This window comes from Homo sapiens, chromosome 9 (assembly GCF_000001405.40).
Source record: "Homo sapiens chromosome 9, GRCh38.p14 Primary Assembly".
Taxonomy (NCBI): Eukaryota; Metazoa; Chordata; class Mammalia; order Primates; family Hominidae; genus Homo; species Homo sapiens.
Window position 1 is genome coordinate 16,822,509 of NC_000009.12, and position 23,180 is coordinate 16,845,688.

General features: G+C 39.2%; 1 protein-coding gene across 28 annotated transcripts in view, besides 1 other annotated feature; it reads right to left on the minus strand.

Annotated features, from left to right (window-relative positions):
* Positions 1-23,180, minus strand: part of BNC2 (basonuclin zinc finger protein 2) — a 461,168-nt gene that overhangs the window by 413,006 nt on the left and 24,982 nt on the right. For 4 of the 28 annotated variants that reach the window (XM_047423486.1, XM_047423484.1, XM_047423482.1 and 1 more), the window contains exon 1: positions 9,736-22,980. The exons of 17 other annotated variants lie outside the window; for them this stretch is intronic. In XM_047423486.1, coding sequence (XP_047279442.1) covers positions 9,736-9,780 — 45 coding nt within the window. In that variant the 5' untranslated portion in view covers positions 9,781-22,980. Of the gene's footprint in view, positions 1-9,735; positions 22,982-23,180 lie in introns of those variants that run through there. 7 more of the 28 variants (XM_047423489.1, XM_047423510.1, XM_047423490.1 and 4 more) reach the window with 5 other exon arrangements.
* Positions 6,370-6,539: an enhancer, noted in NCBI's record as "experimental_107116 CRE fragment used in MPRA reporter constructs". NCBI's record gives its function as "activates a minimal promoter by MPRAs in K562 erythroleukemia cells, with activity observed for both the introgressed and non-introgressed 9:16828961 variant alleles {active_cell/tissue: K562}" and the evidence as "EXISTENCE:reporter gene assay evidence [ECO:0000049][PMID:34662402]".

The window sequence follows — 23,180 nt, forward strand, 5'->3', positions numbered from 1 at the left end:
CAGTATGGCCTTTAAGGAAAAAATTTAAAAGAGAGGCAGAAAGATGGCAATCCATTAACAACTTACTGGGAAACTGCCTGAAGCTTATTGAAGGCTGATTTCTGGAACTGGAACATTTTAAAAACACCAAAGTTGTTGTCATTTGCCCAAACGTGTCAAATGCAATAAAGCAAATTCACATCAGATTTTTTTAAAAGCTGTGTGACAAGTAAGTAAAGATTAATGTGGTGTTGAATAAATGGAAATATTCTAGCTGAAACTATTGTAGTTCAGAAATTATTATAGTCAACTATGTGGAACACTAAAATCTAATCAAACGTTCCAACATCATTACTATTCTATAAATTTGAATATTTTTTTAAGCCAAGAAAAATTACAGAAGCCTTGAACTCAAAAGTTCATACTATGAATTGAACTTAATATTATTTAGGAAGTGCCCCCTTCAAATTACTGTAATTGGTCAAGTAGTTTCAAGAACCTAGAAAATGGTTTTGTCTCATCAATGTAATGTCCTCCTCCACACAATGATTGAAACCATATTAGGTCTCTACTACTCCAAGCTATCAAATCAGTCTTCTTCATACTAGGAAATTGAGCTAAGTTTCCTGAATAGAATTAACTAAGTTGCTTTGTTTTATTTACAAGAACCACAGTAAATAGTTTATTAAAAAACAAACAGTACTCTTATTAAACTCTCTTCAGTGACTTTCTAACCAACAAATTCTTTTTCTAAAATAGCAAGTAGAAAAGTTTATAGGTCAAACATTATATATAAAATAGTTCTATAGTGACATGTAAGAATTACACCTGCCAGGCCAAGCACAGTGGCTCATGTACTTTGGGAGGCCAAGGTGGGAGGATCACTTGAGCTCAGGAGTTCAAGACCAGCCTGAGTAACATAGTGAGATCCTGTCTCTACAAAAAAAAAAAAAAAAAATTAAAAAATTAGCCAGGTGTGGTGGCATGTCCCTGTGTTCCCAGCTACCTGAGAGGCTGAGATAGGAGGATCGCTTGAGCCTGGGAGGCAGAGGTTGCAGTGAGCTGAGATCACACCACTGCACTCTAGCCTGGGCAACAGAGTGAGATCCTGTTTCAAAAAAAAAAAAAAGAATTACAACTGAAATGTGTAACTTAACAAAAACAATTTAAAATCTACTCAGAAAAATTTTGATTGCCTTCATGTTGATAACTATAGTAACATTTGGTATCCAGGAATTATTTCTTTTTTAAACAGGTGATCTTTGACTACCCAGAAAGCAGAACTATGAAAGAAGAGAAATCTCAGGAAGTAACTTCAAGCTCTGCCCAATAAAAACATTCACTGACTTTCTCTAAAGGTCTTTTTCCTTCTCTGTGGAGGTGATTTTGAAATTTCATTCAAATCCCTAACAGCTCCTATCAAATTATATTAGAATTGTGACCTTATAAGATGCCTACAGACAATTATAATTAATCTTAGTTTGTAGAATGGATTAATGAATACATTTTGTAGCTCTTTGCATAGATTACACATATGTCCATTAATCAGTAGTGAGAATCTAAAACTAATTCCTGGAAAATCTACAAAGGAACCCAATGGTTAGGAGTGATAAGAAACTTCTGACATGGTCCTTTGATAATCAGTCATAAAAATAGGCTGTGACCGCTACCATTATCACTAAGGAGGTAATGTGTCTAACGACAGTGAGGAGGATAATATACTATTTATTGACTCTTTTCCCTGAAGTGTTAAAGGGTTTTTTTTGGTTGGTTTTTTAATGTTTGGTCATTTTATGATACAACACACAAAGAAACTGTAAGTCTAATGACAGAAATTAAAAGACTTGAAACTTCTGGAAATTCAAAGGTCCCTTCTTTTGTGGCCCTGGACAAAGCTTGTTTGTATGCCTTCTTTCTAAAGGCCACATATATGACACTCTTTCAAGTAAAATCTACTACAAGAAAATAAAGGGAGGGAAAGGCACTTGCCTGTCCTCAGTCACCTCCTGGCCCTGTTCTCCCAAACTGTTATCTCCTTGATAAGCAGTGGTGCTCTCAGGTGCTTTCATATTCTCAATGCTCCAGCAGGAGTGATGACTGAGAGGCCCCCAGGCACCTCGAACCAATGCTGTCACTTCTAGTCACTGCTAGGCCCAGCTAATGCCATGCCTGTCATGACAAGCACCAGCCACCTAAAGGCACCACACCTCTGCCTCGACAAAACATACCTCTGAAAAAAGTATGAGCCACAGAGGGAACCTGTTTCAGGGGTTGCCAAGGGAAGCCAAACTTGTCTATAAACAGCAGAGGCACAGTGAAAGAGAACCCAAAGCCACAGATACAAGAGGACTGTTAGCCTGGAGTGCAAATAATTGTTCTACTTCCTGTGCATAGATTGTTTGGGAGGGGAGGGGGAAAAGGACATACGAAGATACGGTTTGACCAGGCTAAACTGGGTTTAGTTGTCAGCCTAAACCTGCCATCTGGTGTTAAGATATAGCAGATCACACCCCAGATGTGTTCCTTCAAACAAATCACATCTTTTTTCTTACCCCTCTTTTTTTTTTCTTTCTGTAAAGAGAGAGGTGCCTGCCAAAGATACGAATCAGTGGAAGTTTACTTTATACTAAAAATTCTCGTTAATTTACTCAGCCGAATGAGGAGGTATGTCATTTATGCACTCACAGCCCAAATGCAACCACTTTTCAAAGATGGTACCTAGAGATGCTGAGCTGAAAATCATTTATTTTCTACTCATCAACCGTCAAAGTTGGGGCTATCCTTAGTCACCCAAAAGCCATTTCATCTGAAAATCAAAATTTATTTCAGTACAGTAGAGTTCTGAAATCCCTATTCTCCTCTTTATTTTTGTCTCAATATCTCATTCCACAATTGGGGTGGGGAAGGGTTATGCAGTGCTATCATTTGCACCTCATTACACTTGGGCTGGAGCTTTGAGAAAGCTGATATTCCCTCTAAATTTTTACAGATGCTTCTAGTTTACCAGTTCATGACTGCACTACTAGAAAAGACTTCCTGCCTCTAAACTGCTTGCTGGCATGTATGCTGAATTTCAAAATCCCTGAAAAAAGTAAACCTTTGTGGTGTTCTCTTAACTTTCTTCCTGGGGAGGAGGAGGAGGGGAGGGTCACCCAAACCAAGCAAAATCTTTTTCTCCTATGGAGTGAGACTAAAGCTCAGAAACATTCCCTCCTAACTACTGGCTCTTCATTTTGATTTGGAAATCACTTCACAAAAATGTTCATTAACTGAACGTTATTTGTGGAAGGTGTTTTTCATTAGAAATTATGATTGTGACATGTTCATTAAATTGTGAAAATAGTTCAACCACAGACAGTCTTTCACCTGAGCATAACTGTATTTTTTTTTTGCATGTGTCATTTGAAAAACACTTTGGACAGAGAGAAGGGACACTTTCTAAACTAGCAAACCCCTTTGTTTAATGGTTCCAGGGTTTTTCAAAGTTCAGGGCAGGTGACACTGGTCTGTTCCTAATCTTTACTGTGTTAGCAATGTTAAGGCTGATGACGAGGGACACAAATCCCCTGATGGAACTGAATGCATTCCAAGCTCCCCGACCCACTCAAAGCCATAATCCCCTGCAGCTGGATCTTACTTACCACCATGCACAGCTAACACATTTTTTAAAAGCTAGTCACTGGTGACAAATGTAAACTGGACACAACAGCCCCCCTTTCTCCTTACTTCACTCCCCCCCGCTCAATCTTCCCCCATAACCCAGAGACTTGCTGTTTCTGTGATGGATAGGACCTGCCTTTTAGAACCACCAAGCCTGTGCCATATAGCTCTGCTCTAAGTAACTAGAAGGTTTTAAAAGCATCTTCAGCTGTCAGACTGTAACAAAAACAACAAAAAAGTCATCCTTAACACAAACATTTCACAACTGAGAAAACCCTCTAAGTTGCGATTATCACTGCCATACGGAGGTCCACTATTTATTTAGCTCTCACATGCAGGAAAACTGTCTGGCACTCTTGCTGCTTGATTAAATTAAGCTGCTTGCCATATTCTTGGGTATAATAAATGCAAAAGAAAATTTTAAACTTGAGATTCTTTTCTATCTTTTGGACTCTTTTACTTTTTACTTTTGGCAGAAAAATGACTGAAATATAGTAAACAAGTAGCCCTTTATGGAAGGCAAGCATGTTTTCACCATGGATTTTGATCATCTACTTAGAAAGGGAAACCCCAATAACCCAAGTGGACAATAGCTCTGTGCTGGATCAAGTCTCCAAATCCAGGGCAACAAACTATGGAAAATAGCCTAAAGACAGATGAAATGATGGATGGATAGATGGATGGATGGATGATCGATGGATGGATGAATACACAGAGCTATCTAAATAAGAAAAAAATTTTCTAAATGCTATCAAAATTCCATATAATACAGATGACAGATTTTGATGAAGGGACAAGCTATCCACTTCACCTGATGCAGAAAAACCAAAGGTTAATGTATGTAACTTTTTTGGTTTATTCCAGTTCCCAGATAACCAGCAATAAGTGCTATGATTTAAGCGATGTTACCAATTAGACTTGGAGATAGCTACCACAGCACTGACTATAATGCTTACATTGCATTAGGTTTAATTACTGTAAAGTTACATCTGGAGAGGAAAACATAATTTTATAACCACTCTCAGCATTCTAACTTGTGCTCAGTCTCTGCACGATACATATTTGCCCAAGTAATTGAAGCCCTACAAGGCACCACAGTTAATAATGTGTAACTAGGAGAAACACATGGAAAAGCGACAAGCAGGTCTCTGTGAATTAAATTCACATGTAATTATGTGACCTTTCAGTGTTCTTCTAGTCTTCCTGAGAGCAGGTACTCCAGAGCAGCTGCGACCAGCCTCAGTGGGACCCACTGAACAGGAATTTGACTGAGAGTGGAGGAAAGAGGTATTGTACTGATGGAGAAAGATGAAGACAATTGCTTGGGTGAGTCCAGCTCTGATTCTCCTACTTGTCACTCATTGTCATATTCCTAGAATCCGGAGAACTCAGTCAACACATGAGTAATTCGATCAAAAAGGAAAACTATAAACTTTGTTGTTCATGGTGACTTAAGTGCATTGGGTCTCAACCTAAAAATGGGGTGCGTGCAAAGGAGTGGAATTTGTGAGTACTGGTGAAAGAACAAGAAAAGGAGATTAAGAGATTCTATGTGCACACGTGTGTAAAAGAGTATCATGGTACATATGGGAAGAAGTGTGAAACATGTATAGCTGGCTACATTTTTCAAGACTGAATTACAGTACAGGAATACAAAAACAAAAAAGAAAATGGGCCCCTATAATTTATAAATCTCAGACTCATGATTAATGGCAACATGTATTTTGTTTGAATCCATATGATATGCCCATTCATCCAAAAAACATTTATTGAGGCATGTCTGTATTCTTCATAAAGTGATCAAAGATGGCAGTGCTTTATAGAATTACCTTATATATCCATTATAAACTGAAAGCAGTATTTCTACTACTAACACTAAATGATCTCAGGTCTAAATTTCCATGTCTGCAATGATATGTTCACACTATAAAGTCATCCAAAATCCTACACAAAATGTAAAAAGTACCTCAGGAAAAAAATTGACAGACATAACCAGACATCTGCATGCTACTTAAAATGTGATAAAAATGGAGTAGCTTAATCAAATCTTTTAATACCAAAATATTCTATAACTGTGCCCAAAAAAAAATCACAGGTTCAAATAAATTTGTAACTAATCCAGTGAGAAATACTGATTATATTTTATAGAAAAACCACAGCAAACAACACATTATATTTACCTGAACTTCCAGGTATCAATTCATAATACTTACAAAACCCTAACTGAAAATGCTTAGTCTTGAGTAAGCATAAACCCTTCCCATGAAATGAATATAAAATTAATACTGTCTCTTTAAGTTACAGGACCTGCTATAGTTAGGTAGTATGAAGCCAAGAATACGTTCTGAAGCTTAACTCTCAGGAGCAAACATTTTCTACTTGTGAAGTAAACTCTGTTGAAAGACAGCAGACTACGGTCCCACCAGTAAAAACAGGAAAGTTTTCAGCCAGTGACAGCTTTGCCTACAGAGAAAAAAAAAGTGTCACAGACTCACTTTATTAAACCATATGCTCATTGCCCTGTGAAGAAAGCAGGGTCACTAATTAGTTCATTCTGTGAAAGAAGCCCTTCCTGATCCCGTTGACTTTTGTCCCCCTGGTTAGCTCCAGCTATTTCTGTCATGCAACTTGAAAATCACTGGAGGGAGGAAGATCGCCATAACAACCGCTGAAATGATCTTGTGGAATGTGTCTAGTGGCACTGGAATAACCTGAATATGTGCTCCAGATGTGTCGGCTGTCAGGAAAAAAGTAAACACATCTGATGGACAGCGTATGACTAGATGGCCCCGAAGCGACTCCAGAGGCTGGGGCGCGGGGGAGAGGCCGCATGTGTGAGCAGGGGGGCGGCGGGGTGGGCTGGGCAGAGCAGAAGGGAGGCGAGCCAGGAGCCGGCACGAGGCACCAGGGGACCTGGGGCCTGGGGCGGCCTGGGAGGACTGAGCGCGACTGTTCCGCCCGCGTCCCTCCCCTGAGTGGCCTCTGCGGGACTGCAGCGGCCTCTGCGAATTTCCGTCTGGCACGGACTTGTGAGCATTAGGGAGCAAACTACAACATGAATGCTGAGGAAGGGTAGAAGAGAGGAGCGGGCTCAAAACGCTTTCTGTCTTAAATATTAATGGCAACATGTTTTTAAAGCATTCTATCTTCAGGGTAGGGCTGTCTCCTGGCCCCTACTCACCCTTTACCAAATGAATGGTTTTGCTTTTTTGTTCCATATGCATACTCAAGCACTCTTTTTATTAGGTGACTGGGTGATTACATTCCTGATCCGAATATGTTGTCTTTTTTGATGGTGGTGGTGTTCCGCAGACTTTCACAAGTTGGACAAGTGGGTTGGTTCCCTAACCCAAAACATTTTTTAAAAATATTTTTCTAATAAAATACATAGAAATGACTAGAAAACACGATATAGGCCAAAACACATTCTCACCTTAGTTCCTATTCTCAGGGGTGTTTGCAAAGAGGAGGATTTAGATCTATGCCCAGTGCTAACATTCACAAACAAAACGGCAATTCTACAAACATCTTAACGCACAGTAGGCACTTGTTAAATATTTGCTGATCAAAATATTTTTAATGTACAAAATTCAACTACAAATGCTACTTGGGTTCTACATATAAACAGTGGCAGGGATTACTTAAAAAAATAAGTAACCAAGCTTAAAAATACTTAAGAAAAATAAATAGGAAGTTTATTTCCCCAGGGGAACAGAAATGCCCCCCTAAAGAAAATAGAAAACACTATATTCACACTATAGGACACAAACCACCTACTTGTGCATGAATCCACCACATTTTAATGCCTATTTCTACTCCAATCATTTGTAGAATGGGCCTTACTTAAGTTTTAGAGACTATGTATAAAAATATTCACTACATTTCTGCTATAAATGCTTATATCTGTGAAAAGCCTAGAAGGTCTGTAAAGAAATTTACAATCTATGTGAAAAGCTTTTGAAACAACATATTCCATATTTTCTTTCAAAAACTCCACACAATTATATTTCAATAAAATATCTAACGGTTTTCCAACATGGTATAAACAAAAAACAAAACTGCATTGGAGGGCAATTATCTCTATAACATACACAGTTATCAGCTTGGCTAAGGCAAGGCAGTATTCACCTAGTATAGCTGTCCCTCAGTATCAGGGTGGTACGGAATGGTTGCAGGTCCCTCTGAGGATAGCAAAATCTTCGAACGCTCAAATCCCTTAAAAATTGGTGTAGCATTTGCATATAACCTACACACATCCTCTTATACTTGAAATCATCCCTAGATTACTAATACAATGTAAATGCTACGTAAATATTTGATATACTATACTGTGTAGGCAGTAATGACAAGAAAATATTCTATACTGAAACATCAGCAACGATGTAACATTTTCTGGATTTTTTCGCATTATTTTTGATCCACGGTTGGTTGAATCTGCGGGCGCAGAAACCATGGATACAGAAGGCCAACTGTATTTTCATTCAAGGTGATTGCCAACTTACAAATCTTGTTTCCATTTCTAAGTATCTAAGTACATTTTTCTCCTTTGATAAAACTCATTTAGTGACTCAGATTCTGAAAGTAGATCACCAAAGGGAAACAGAAAAAAGAAAAACATGAAAAATTATTATTTGAGAGCAGGAAATGGAAGAAATCTTCAACTTACTCTTTACTCTGTAATTCACACATTTAACCTGGCAGAGGAATACCCTAAGGATTCTTGGAGGCTGAAAGACTTAAAATTTGAGGAATGAAAGAATAGCAAGGGTGAATGGCACTGCTTCTGCCTTCTAGAAATTGGATTCCACTGGCAGCTGGCTGAATGAAGCCAGTAACAGATTCATGGTCGTGGAAAATGTTTCATCCTCTCAACGAAAACGTCATTATTTCCTCGTAACAGAAACTGTACTTCCTGACAAGTTAGACAACCTAAAACAATCAGTGTCAAGGTCCAATATATAAAATCTGTTGGCAACCTACAAAAAAGAAATAATCTGTGTATTTGCAATTATTTGCAGAGCCTACTTTATTATTATTCCAGTCTAATCTACCTCCACTCCCAAATTAAAAGACTTCAAAGGGGCTAACAGATTTCCAAATAAAATGCCAAACATTTAAGCCAAAATTATCAATGTGCACATTTGCACAATGAAGTGCCAAATGTCTAAAAGATGGATGAGCTTCAATGACCATTTTCATTCACCTTGATCTTGGCATTCAACCAATAAGTAAAGAGTTCACGTATATTCAAAGAACTGGAATATATCTGTATTCACTTGTGTGACATTTACTTATTTAAAATTTCTTAAACAGAACTTGCAGCTAACTTTTATGAGAAAAATGGCAAATAATGCGTTGACTCTCATGTCAAATTCAAAATAATGGTTTTTCAGTGAGAGGTTTTCTTGTTTGTTTTTTGGGCTTTTTGGGGGTGGTGCAATGTTGGTTATTAACAGCATCACAAGGTTAGAATGAAATTAAACCTGGAGTCAGCATAGGAAGTATTCAAGTTCCAAGAGTTATAAGATACCCATATGAACAGATTTGGTGGTTGAACTCGACACACTTCTGTCCTTAATCTACTGTGTGTTTTAAAAACTCAATCAAGTGCTCCTGGGTTATGGTTCCTCAAGCCACCAACTTTTCTTAGACAATGTCACACCAATTGCATCAAGCTCCATAGAGACTCTCCCTAATGCTTTTCTGTTTTACTCCACTGAGCAAATAATGGCAATGGTTATAACATGCACAGGCTATTAGATTTGCACTCCTATCAACCAAGATCTAGGAAACTTTGAAGAGTTTACCCATAATTTTTTGACCTTATCTACAGGTTTACAGACCAGCCATAACTATGAAGTTAAAGAAAGCCAGAAAAGTTGAATCCTCAAGCAAAACAAAACAAAAACTAATAGGACAATCAGCAAGCCAATCTATTAGAATTCCAGCTGGCTATGAGTAAAATACTGCAATGCAGCTTCCTGGATGTAGGATATTTCAACGGTCCATTTAGTAGGTTTCATTCATGCGCCCTTATTAAAACTACAAGGTAGTCTTCAAAGGAAAAATATGAAACTATTACATGTAGTTAAATACCAGTAGAAGAGAAAATCTAGAAGGTTCTTTGACGTCATCAGTCATGTGTCATGTTATCAAGGGAAAAGAAGCCATGAAGCACAGAATTCCAGAGAAAACCAGGCAATCTGTGAAACAGAACAGAGAACACAATATGTTTTGCCCAGTTTTAGAGGCCTAGAAGAGTTCCTTTCAAGAACATAGCTACAAGACTTGATCTGCTTACTATCATGTCATCAGTGTAGGCAATAGATGACATTAATTTCTGAAGACCTCCACCCCACTCGTGTCCTGACTGTAAAACAAGTGAATCAACGAATCCGAACCCAAGTTCTATAATAAACACAGAATATTCTCTCAAGGGTCTGTGAAATCCTCAAGACAAAACATACAGCACGTTAATTCCCAAAATACATATTTTTCCATATAGCATTTAGAGGTAGAAGGAGAACAAAGTGGTAAGAGCTGAACAAAACCTGAGAAAAGTCCCTGAATCCAAATTCCTTTTTTTTTTCTTTTTTTGAGATGGAGTCTCGCTCTGTCACCAGGCCGGAGTGCAGTGGCGCGATCTCGGCTTACTGCAACCCCCGCCCACTGGGTTCAAGCGATTCTCCTGCCTCAGCCTGCCGAGTAGCTGGGACTACAGGCACGCACCACCATAACCAGCTAATTTTTCTATTTTTAGTAGAGACGAGGTTTCACCATGTTGGCCAGGATAGTCTCAATCTCTTGACCTGGTGATCCGCCTGCCTTGACCTCCCAAAGTGCTGGGATTACAGGTGTAAGCCCCCCCGCCCTACCCAAATTCCTTCTTATTACAGTCCAGGAATCAGTCTTACAGAAGTAAATCAATTCACCCAATGTTGCGTTTATTTGTATCTGGAGAAGAATTAGAACAAAACCCTCAGGAAAGTGATATGCTTCCTACAAATCCACCCTTCTCTTGCCACCACCAATTTCGCTCCCTCCTCCCAAGTGACAACTGACCTATTCATCAGACGATGAATAAGATCTTCTCTTAGAAGCACTCTGCCTTCAAAGAGGACCAAGATTAACAAATCCAAAAACACTCTTCTTGACAATTTCAACCTTCTGTCCCTGTAAGCATTTTACCAGGATCGTCAAAAAGTAAAGACCCACTTTGAGTCTGAACTCCATTCTTTTTCCATTTCCTGGAACAGTTTTCTCAAGCAATGAAATGCCAAGAAGGAAGAGAAAAAAAACTAGCTTGGGAAGCCAAGAGCTTCGAGGTCATTAGCCTCAGAGCAGTAATGGTTGACTATATTCCTTTATGGTTCCTTTAGCCTTACTTCACTAAGGGCAAAGAGCAATTTTTTTTTCTCTCTGATGTTTTTCAAGTGTTACTGTCCTTGCAGGCCCATTATGGGGGCCTCACATGCTGGGAATTGCTGGTTATTTGGCCACTTGCCATAAGGAATTATTACTACTGCACTTAAGACAAATGGTGTCCCTGACTCCAGAAGGAAGACCACTCCAAAGGGAATGACGGGTGGCTAAGCAAGCCCTTCAAGAAAATCATGTGAACTCAAACCCTGCTTAAAACCTCCTCATTTCATTTAGAGTAGTAACTCTTGGTCCTTAACATGGCCTCCTAGCCCCTTCCTTCCCTTCAGTCTGATACCAGCTCACCAGCATTACTCTACTAGGTTCTCTCGGAACCAATTACAATGGCCTGTCCACACCTCCAATGTCCCAAGCAAGCTCTCTCTAATCTCAGGCCTTCAGTCCTTTTGCAATACTCAGCACCCTCTACCTTGCCCTCAGACAACCTAGTTAATTTCTCTGCATCCTTCAGATCTCAGCTCAAACAACCCTTCAGAGAAATCTTCTCTGACCCCACAAACTCCAGTTGGTGGTCACTGCTTTGTATTTTTGGATTCTGAGTAATATTCTATCTGAAAAATGAAGAGTGGTCTCAAAGCTCAAAAAAACTTTGACCATCACTGGCCAGTCAAAAAAAAAATCCCTTAAGCAAAATAATTCTGATATTTGTAGTATTTAATTTCTACTCTTAACTATACTAATAAAAAATTCAGTGTTACAGATTTTTGGAAGCAAACCCCAAATCCACTTGTTGGGGTCAATGTTCATTTATTTCAAACACTCCAAAAACAGATCAATACTTTTGAAAACTGTAGCCACTTAATACTCCTCCTTTCCCTGTGTTGGTAGCAATGACAGACAGTTGCAGAAAAGCAAAAAATGCACCAGGCTTAGAGTCAGACTATAAGTCAGACCTTGCTATTACCAGCTGCCTGACCATAGCTAAATCCACTACCTTCTCTATGCCCAGTCACTCTTCTGTAGAAAGAAGAAAACAATGCTACTTCCTTAGAGTACTCAGGAGACATGCATCTTGAAGCCAATGTTTGCCTTCCACAATTAGCATTTTACATTTTTGCCTGATTATCTAATAATACCGGTCTCCTCACCCATTTGTGAACTCCCTACAAGTAAGTGATTTTTAGTCTTTTTTCTCTATCACTGAATCCCCAGAGTCTAGTATAATGTCTGTCCTATATATAGTAAGCACTCAACAAAGAGTTTTTAAATAAATGGATTAAGAGATAGTGCAGTATGAAAACAGATTCCCCCATCTCCGCATATTAGTTTTGCTTTTTTTTTTAAGTGAGATGTTAATAATTCTACAAAGGGTAATACATCTTCAGCAGTCTCCCCTGTGTATGACTAGTTACTATTCTTTCATAGAATTCAGTGTTCACTGGGATCCAGTCGGTCATGGATATCCACGGGTACTTAAGAAAAGTCTAGTCAGCGAGTTTCATTCACTTATAGTGGCTTCATTCCTCTAGTATCACAAATTGTTCAAAAGAAGAACTGAGTTACAGAGTGTTGTGCAAATATCAACACTGTCCTTCCACACAAATAGAGAAACAATTCATACAGATGAGATGTTAAGAACAGCAACTTCATATAATAGCAAACATTATTCGTCTTTTCTGCATGTCAAAATAGTTTAATACTTTAACAACTGATTGATCTTCAATCAATAGCATTGATTTTTCTTTGTTAAGTATGTTTATAATCATTTTACATGTAGTAAACTCATCTAATTCTCACCACTACAACCCCATGAGTTAGGTACCATTATTATCCTTATTTGATAGAGAAGGAAACCTCACTGCATTTGTGGTTATAAAAATTGTGTACTTGGCCAGGCATGGTGGCTCATGCCTGTAATCCCAGCACTTTGGGAGGCCGAGGCAGGCAGATCATTTGAGGTCAGGAGTTCGAGGCCAGCCTGACCAACATGGTGAAACCCTGTCCCTACTAAAAATACAAAAAAATTAGCCAGGCATGGTGGCACATGCCTTTAGTCCCAGCTACTTGGGAGACTGAGGCAAGGAGAATCACTTGAACCTGGGAGGCGGAGGTTGCAGTGAGCAGAGATAGCGCCACTGCACTCCAGCCTGGGCAACAGAGCAAGACTCCCATTTCAGAAAAAATAAAAAATCGTGTACTTAATATCTATCTAGCAGAAAACTATTGTGTGCAAGGCACAGTTCTGGTATCCTATTTTAAATATGAGGTTTAACTCTCTTGCCAAGAAAAACAGATTTAAGTTAAAGAGGTTTTAGAAGAATTGGCGTCTAAAGTTGAATTGTTTTTTCCCAGACTTACCAGTTTGAGACTTGCTCTAATAGGATAAATCTTTCAACTGCAGGGAGTCTTCAGTAAAACACAGCACCCATCCCACCTAGTTAAGAATCCTGGCACTAGAAATCTATTTCACCCCACTCAGCAGGCTGCAGTACATAATTATTTTCATCTGGTTATAACACGAGGTAGTGAGTTTAATCTCTAAAGGCCTACAGGGATTGATTTTAGCAGTTTTAGAAATTGCCTCTCACGCTATGAATGTGCCTCACAGCAAGACGGTCCTGCTAATGGTTCCCAGATTAGGATTTGGGAAGACCAACGGCATGGCTTCCTCCTCTTCATAATTTCCTTTCCTTTGTGGGCCAAGTCTATGGTCATTCAAGGTAATTCTCATGGCGCTGCTTTCAAAAACAATTTGTTCTGATTTAAATGAAGAATCAGAGGTCGTTTTTTTAGGGTATAATCAATTATTACTATAGCTGGAGTCAAACGAATGCATATATAAAGTAGACCATCAGAAACATATTCTTAGAAACATAAAGGGGTATATGAAAATTAAATAGAATCCCAAACAATAATATGGCCATGAATGTGAAGAAACCTCTAGTTTGTCTTGATTTTTAAAACTTTGGCCCAGCTCTTCCTTTCAGGAGAAAAAAAAAAAAAAGAATCCTAGAAAACCAGTTCAAGAATATATTTAATGTCTCCTTGATTCTTATTAAGTTTGATCCTACTCAACCAACTCTCATTTGTCCCAGGTTCTAAGTGAACCCTCCTCACCACAGAAAGTCATCAGAAATGAAGAGGACATTCTGCTAATCACGAATTTTAAAGTGAAATTGCTACAAAGACTGGGACTAACAAATCCCATAAAGTAAAAATTATCTAATAATACTTTTTTTTTCAGTTTTTGGTAGAAGAACCAACCTCAAAAAAATAAAAAAGAAAGAAAAATATATAGGCAAATTAAACTTCCTGCTTATAAAAGATTCAGAAAAGGCCCTTGGGCTGTCCACAGCATTGAGTGATAGCAGGCCACTTATATTAACAGTGACAACTACATGTCTAAAAGGTATTCAACTTACACACCTGGTTCAACATATGTTACAATATTTTGGCTCTGCCAAAAAAAAAATTTACCACATCATAAATTCTCTCCCCACTGTCCTGGTATCTCAGGTGGGGGACTACATAGGTAAGTTCTAAGAGTCAAATTTTTATAAGCATAGAGAAGTAACAAAACACTTTCAAAATGCTATCTTTTCATGTTTTTGAACCCAAAAAATGGACCCACAACAAAGATCTCAGTAATATAAACCTGAAACACTATGAAACATAATCTTAGAAAACCATAATTCTGGCCAGGCTTGGTGGCTCATGCCTGTAATCCCAGCACTTTGGGAGGCCAAGGCAGGTGGATCACCAGGTCAGGCATTCGAGACCAGCCTGGCCAACATAGTGAAATCCCGTCTCTACTAAAAATACAAAAATTAGCCGAGCGTGGTGGCAGGCGCCTGTAATCCCAGCTACTCAGGACGCTGAGGCAGGAGAATCACTTGAACCTTGCAGGCAGAGGTTGCAGAGAGCTGAGGTCGCGCCACTGCACTCCAGCCTGGGCGACAGTGCGAGACTCCATCCCGAAAAGAAAAAAGAAAGAAAACCATAATTCTACCAGACTGGGAAGTCCTTGGTAGACTGCCAAGTTCTTCCATCTCCAGCCTCGAAGTCGATGTCTGGTGAAGAGGAGGTTCTCAAATTATATTTGTAGAATGAGATAAATAAAACCTCAGAATTATCTGAAGTACTTTCAAACATGTTATCACACTGTGATCCTCTGAAGGTATATAAGACAGGTATTCTTGAACCATTTCAAAGATGAGGAGCCCTAACTTCAGAGCTATCAAATTAGCCTGGTCTTAGGGCTCCTAAGCTACTGCTTTTCTATTACTATCAACTCTGCCTCAACATTTAAAAAGCTCAGGGTTTCCAGGAGGTGGAGGTTGCAGTGAGCCGAGATCATACCATTGCACTCCAGCTTGGGCAACAAGAGTGAAACTCTGTCTAAAAAAAAAAACAAAGGGTTTCTACTCTTTCACTTTTGCTCTGCTTTCTGTATTTTATGATACCTGGTATAAAAACGCCAAAAGGAAAAGGCAACCAGATCATTCAGATGCCAAACCCTAACAAGATCACTACTGCCCTTTGGAGCTATGCAAGTCTGATGGCTCAGGCTACCAGGTATTTAGGTCTACTTAAATAAGGCATACATAATGCGATATTTACACTGTACACAAGTTTCAACCTACCACATATTTTTAACCAAAAATGTTTCTTTGGAATTTTTTTCCATGTACAAATACATACTGACAGTTTAATTCTAGATAGACTTTTACAGGAAAAACAAAGCAGGCCAGGCATGGTGGCTCACACCTGCAATCCCAGCACTTTGGGAGGCCAAGGCGGGCGGATCACCTGAGGTCAGGAGTTCAAGATCAGCCTGGCCAACATGGAGAAACCCCATCTCTACTAAAAAGAAAAAATACAAAATCAGCTGGGTGTGGTGGCGCATGCCTATAATTCCAGCTACTCGGGAGGCTGAGGCAGGAGAATCGCTTGAACCCCAGAAGCGGAGGTTGCAGTGAGCCAAGAGCACTCCATTGCACTCCAGCCTGGACAACAAGAGCGAAACTCCGTGTTAAAAAAAAGAAATGCGAGTTGTTACCTCAAATGTTTTAGTTCTGTGGATGTCACTGTAAAAACTGATCACCACAGAATCACATCACACTACCACATATGAACTGCATAATGGTAAATCCAGTGTTTTCAGATTCCCCAACTTAGACTTCAAAGTAGACATGATCTTCACCTGGTAGCTCACAGTTGCTCTTAGGTAAAATTGTATTTCAACTATGGATTCAACATTATTTATAGTGTACTTATTGTATGCGTGGCTTATGCTAGGTTGGGTGATTCCAACATGAGTAAAACATGACTCCTGACCCACAGTAAGGACAACATTAATAGTACTTGAGAAAGATACAAAGAAATACAAAAAGGCTATTGTATTGGTCTATGTGTGCCACAAATGTGGTTGCTACATACAGTTTCTTAAGGAACACACGTGAAAGAAAACTACTAATTTCACTAGTCAGTAGAGGTGAGCTAACAGAAGTTAGCTCTTAATAATTCCTCCTTGCAGAAAGAGCTGATACATAAAAGTTTCTAACAGAGTTTCCAACATAGTGGATTAAACTGTTAACAATTCTGGATAATTTTCTCAGATAAAAGACACTAGAAACTTAAGGATTCTTTTCCTTAAAAGTGAAGCAATAATTCTGCAACAGTTTGTATATAATATACATATCTGAAAGTAATCTTAGTTGCTTTCAATACTGCTCAACCAATCATAACTAGCACTCGTTGCTAAGGCTATGCATCTTTTAATGCCATGTTTATATTATGCTATGTATCAATACGGTAAAAGTTACACGCCATCACCCATTTTGTACCAGTCTTCCTTCTATGTAGTACTAAAATACTGCCCAAATTACTAGTTTTGAAAGCTATCCTAGAATAGAAATAAAATGCCCTATACCAAATATTAAGCAATGATAAACATTTAATTAACTGTGGCTCATTAGATGATTACCTATCTGAAAGGACCTACTATGTTTGACTCACACAGATATGCAGGTTAGAAGAGAACCCCATGCAAGTCTAAAGCACGCTGCGCACTCTCTAGCTCTCGGACCAACGATTTCATTCCTTCTTAGGCGCCATCACTATATGCCTATTAGGCATCCAGCTCTATAGCACGTAATTCTCTCCCAAAACTAGAAGTACACTGGCTTTCAGTCAGAAAAATTAAAGGCTGATTAGAAGATCCTCTCAACCTTACAGCCAAGAAAAACGTAATTTCCAATATATAGACTGAATTGAAAAGGATTTTTACAAATGATTAGTCAACCAATGCGGTGTGGTGCATGTACCTACGTACAAACATGCATGCCTGCAAGCACACACCCACCACCACCCCATGACAGTCACCAGAAACTGCTAAACTAATCCCAGAACTCCTTCCAATGACCCAAGCAAGACACAGCTGCAGGATTCTCTTCTCAATAGCCTTTACCAATCTATCAATATTGATAAGAGTTGAAACCTGTTTTCCATCTTTAACTTACTCTTTACATCTTTACTGTTTTACATCTTTAACTTCAGATAAGGAGGTCTAAAGAAGTACCAAAGAAGTTACAAAGATCAAACAGGCAGTCAGTGACAGAGTCTGGGTTAGAAAAAAATCCAGACCTTGTGCCTTCTGGTCCATACCACAGAGCCTATCTGCAATGTTTATCACATACCCACTAAACCTTACTATTCCTTAATTTCTCTGTGTCCTGATCATTTAACTTCTTACCATCTCATTTTGGCAGCCACATACGCTCCTCTCCCTTTTGCTTTTACAGAATCCAATGCCCCTGGCATAAAAGGGGAGAGAACTTACTGCCATTTCATATCCACGCAGTTAATGAATGCCCATAGTTAACATGGCGTCTCCCCCTTAAGCCACTAGCTGTCACTCAAAAGTTCACTCTAAAGCTTGACCTTTGCTTCTGCTCAGAAGTATTTATTCACCCTATCACAAGTGTTTTTCCTTTAATGTCATGATGGCAAAAATACTGCAGTGGTTGTATGCCTTTCCAAATACGCACATCTGTGACAAACACTATACAGTTTTGTCACTAAGACTCAAGAACTTAGATGGTAAGATATACCAAAAGCAAAAAAGAATTACCAGGTCAAGGGACTGGGTAAAATTGGTATTCCTATGCTTGTTACCTGCCACAGAAACCAAGTACAATGTTTATAAACCTGACACCAAATAAACATTTCAATCATAGTTATTTCAGCAGTTCTAATGTCAAATGAGCCTACAACTGCTCATCAGAGAAGGGTTACCACATGTATGCACTCAGATTGGAAAATATCTTCACTACTCTTTAAATACCATAACATATTTTGGCCACTCCACAATAAACAGGCCTAACTGTAGATAATATTGTATCTAACAAAATCAGCTTTTTTGACTGAAATCCCACCAGTTCCACCACTATAACCTCTCAGCTAGGGTAATTAGTATTTTCGTTGTTCTTCCGATTCCACATTTGAACACTGTAGTTCTCTACTTCACGGGCAGAAATGACCTCATGGGCAATGTTCTAGGCAGATAAAAAGGTCACAAATTAATGGGCAAAAGAGTCCTTTCTTTAAACAACACATAAGCAAATCTGAAAGATATCCACCGTTTTAATGAGTTTTTGTTTGTCAGGCACTGTGCTGATCCTTACCCAAACTATGTCTTATTGAATTCTCATTCCAACCCTAAGCAATGACAGTTATTACCCTCCATATTTAAAAATGAGGAAATCCAGGCTTAAAGAAATTCTGTCCCTTGTCAAACTTCCCACAGCATAGTTGGGATTCAAACTCAGGACTCCGACGCTTTCTATACCTACACTGCCTATGCTACTTCCACTACACTATAAATACTTAGAAAACATTTGTAAAAATGTTGTGAGGCCATCAGAACTGTAACTAATTATTCCTCAAAATGTAGATATCCTGGCTAAACTGTATGTCCATAATCAAACCATCATATCATCAAAAGCTAATCAAACCAGGGCATAAGGTCTGTGTGGGTCATTTAAGTTAACAATGGAACCCTTATGATCCTTGAGTGGTTTCACTGCACTGTGGTATTCACCATGCCTTCTTATAAAATCAAAAATACAAAGTTTGAAAATGTTTAAACACTTAAAACGTGAAAAAAAAGATAAAATACTTCAAAATAAAAGATTAATCCATGAAAAGAGCTGCATGCATGATGACTGCCCATTGCAAAAGATGTATTTCCGAAGCCTATGTCTGCAAGACATTATTATCAAATTTGTTTTTTTTTTTTGAGACAGAGTTTCACTCTTGTTGCCCAGGCTGGAGTGCAATGGCACAATCTCAGCTTACTGCAACCTCCACCTCCCGAGTTCAAGTGATTCTCCTGCCTCAGCCTCCCAAGTAGCTGGGATTACAGGCATGCACTACCACGTCCATCTAATTTTCTATTTTTAGTAGAGACAGGGTTTCACCACTTTTGGTCAGGCTGGTCTCGAACTCCTGACCTCAGATGATCCACCTGCCTCGGCCTCCCAAAGTGCTGGTATTACAGGCGTGAGCCACACACCCGGCCTGCAAGACATTATTTAATGCACATATTTTTTGGAGTTTTGAAGCTGCTTTGCCTTATGTTATTTTAACATATGAACCTCCACTATGATTTTTAGTATCTTGCAAACTGTTGACCTACCAAACTAGTAAGAGAAATTCACTTAGAAAAGATGCTGGCATTAGAATTTCCAAAATAGTTCATGTAGATATAAGTATGATACTTTCTGTTTCTGTGATAGGAAAAAGAAACGAATGGGTGTTTGGCACTTGCATTACACAGATACCATGCTAGGAATTTTCACATATGTCATCTCAGAAACACTCCAGCATAAATATTATTATACCTATTTTATAGAAAACAGTGGGTCAAAAAGTAAAAGATGCTAAGGGCTGGGGAGGGAGAATGGAGGATTTACTGTTGAGGATAGAGTTTCTCTGTGGAGTGACGAAAGCGTTCTAGAACTAAATAGTGTTGATGGTTCCACAGCCTTGTGAGTATACTAAAAACCAGTGACTATACACTTGAAAATGGTGAATTTTATCTCCATTTTAAAAACTGAACAATCATGGCAAACATTAACATTTGGGAAATCTGGTTAAAGGATATATAGGAATTCATTGTATTTTTTTTTTCTGACTCTTGTGTAAGCCTGAACTTATTTTATTTTTGTTTTGTTTTACTTTGTTTTTTGGAGTCTCCTTCACTCTGTGCAGTCTTGCTGCAGTGCCATCTCGGCTCACTGCAATCTCTGTCTCTTGGGTTCAAGCAATTCTCCTGCATCAGCCTCCCAAGTAGCTGGGATTACAGGTGTGCACCACCACACCCAACTAATTTTTGTATTTTTAGTAGAGACGCAGTTTCGCCATGTTGGCCAGGCTGGAGTCAAACTCATAACCTCAAGTGAAGGCCTGAACTTATTTCAAAATTCAAAGTTTTTTAATGAAACAACAATATGAATATATTTAACATTACTGAACTGTACACTTTAAAAAGTTGAGGGTAAATCTTATCTGTTTTTTACTATAATTAAAAATAGATTTGATAGATAGATAATTGACTGATGGAGAGATAGATGAATTTGCCCAAGATTCTACCATATTCAGTAGCAGAATCAGTATTCAAATTCAGGTCTTTACAACTCCAAAGCCAATACTCTTTAAAAAGGGCAGGGTTATAATTCTGTTTGTACTAGATAGTACTGAGATGTCATTTATGGTCGTTCGAAAGGTGTACACTAAGATACATTCCTTTTTTGTGTGTGAGACGGAGTCTTGCTCTGTCGCCTAGGCTGGAGTGCAGTGGCAAAAATCTCAGCTTACTGCAAGCTCCGCCTCCCGGGCTCAAGCCTCAGCCTCCACTGCCTCAGCCTCAGAGTAGCTGGGATTACAGGTGCACACTACCACACCCAGCTAATTTCTGTATTTTTAGTAGAGACAGGGTTTTGCCATGTTGGCCAGGCTGGTCTCCAACTCCTGACCTCAAGTGATCCACCCGCCTTGGCCTCCTGAAGTACTGGGATTACAGGCGTGAGCCACCATGCCCAGCCTACATATTCTTAAGCTCCTTTTTTATAAATGAAAAATCTATTACCAAGTAAATGGGTTTTAGTAAATGTTTCTGAGCTACTTTAGGTTTACCATGTAAGACTACAAATGTGTGTGGAAGGAGAAGAGGTTTAGGTACTACGCTTTTCATCAAACAGTTACTCCCAATTGAATAGTATTTGAAAACAAGCAGAATTCATGTTAGAATTCAAGCAGAAATTCATGTTAGAATTTTTCTTCCAAGTCAAAATGCCAGAACTGATAATGCCATGAGGATGCAACGAGTATGTGAAATATCTGTTTTTATCAAATTCTGGTTTTTACTCTTAGGTTTTTTGTTGTTGTTGTTGTTCATTTAAAAATCTTTTGGCCAGACACGGTTGCTCACACCTACGAAGCACGAGGATAGCTCAAGGCTAGGAGTTCAAGACCAGCCTGGGCAACATAGTGAGTCACCATCTCTACAAAAATAATAATAATAAATCTTATAAGAGTTTAGCAATTTCTCATAAGTTTTTTTTTTTACGTTACAAAAAAAAATTACAGACAGGAGTTTCAACACACATTTTAAGTGCTAGTTTACCAAACACTGACACAAAATCTGATGGGTGTTTGCAAAAACGGGTATATCTGGGTTTGAGTTGGGGGCTTACGACTAAATACTATTAATATACCAACTGCATAAAATATCCATATGCCTTTACAAATCATGTTTACTTAAAAACGTTAAGAAGTAGAATTCAGTGTTCAATCAAGTACACACCTTAAAAAAAATCAACATTCCTTTAAAAAAAAAAGATGTCAGGTGGTAATTCTAGGGATGGGGAGCAAGAGTAGTATTTTTACGAATATTTTTCTTTTCTTTTTTTTTTTTTTTTTTTTTTGAGACGGAGTCTCGCTCTGTCACCCAGGCTGGAGTGCAGTGGCGAGATCTCGGCTCACTGCAACCTCCGCCTACCAGGTTCAAGCGATTCTTCCTGCCTCAGCCTCCCGAGTAGCTGGGACTACAGGCACCCGCCACCACGCCCGGCTAATTTTTGTATTTTTAGTAGAGACGGGTTTTCACCATGTTGGCCAGGCTGGTCTCGGACTCCTTACCTCAGGTGATCCACCTGCCTTGGCCAAAGTGCTGGGATTACAGGCATGCGCCACCGCACCCAGCCATTTTTCATTTTTTTATATCAATAACTATCCAGTCATTTCTGGGAAAGGTATTATTGGTATTTGGGGCAGAACAACTCATCACTGTATGTAAATTGTTCTGCAATCCTGATGCTGCAGTGTCCCTGACCCACTAAATAGCAGGAGGCAGCCCCCCAGTTGAGTCATTTGTGACAAACAAAACATCGCCCAAGATTTCCAAACACTGTGTAGGTAGTAGCATCACCAGGTTCAGAACCCAAAGAAGCCTAAACCCCCTCCACCTGTCAGTACTTCACAGCGAACTGATGAGTAGGAAGTTCCTATCAGTCGGGCTGGGGGCCAACCTTCCCAGGCACTGCCAGGATGCCCCATGTTTTGAAATAACTTTCTCTTAGGCAGCCTATCAGTGTAAATTCGGATTTCTATCATGTTATTCTTAAAACCAAACATACCTGCATTAATTTGACTGACACCATAAAAATTCTAAGAGAAATGGGCATTTTTTTAAAATGGAGGGAGTTTTTAATTATTCAACACCAGCTTTTTTACAGTTACAGTCCTCAGAAGTCACATGGCCTAGACCATGGAGCTTTTCAAATGCTACAAGTCATAATATACGCATTAGAAAGAAACCACGGTAGTTGGGTTTTCAAAATAGGAAAATTGGCCGGGCGCGGTGGCTCACACCTGTAATCCCAGCAATTTGGGAGGCCAAGGCGGGCGGATCACAAGGTCAGGAGATCGAGACCATCCTGGCTAACACAGTGAAACCCCATCTCTACTAAAAATACAAAAAATTAGCCGGGTGTAGCGGCGTGGGCCTGTAGTCCCAGCTACTTGGGAGGCCGAGGCAGGAGAATGGCGTGAACTTGAGAGGCGGAGCTTGCAGTGAGCCGAGATCGCACCTCTGCACT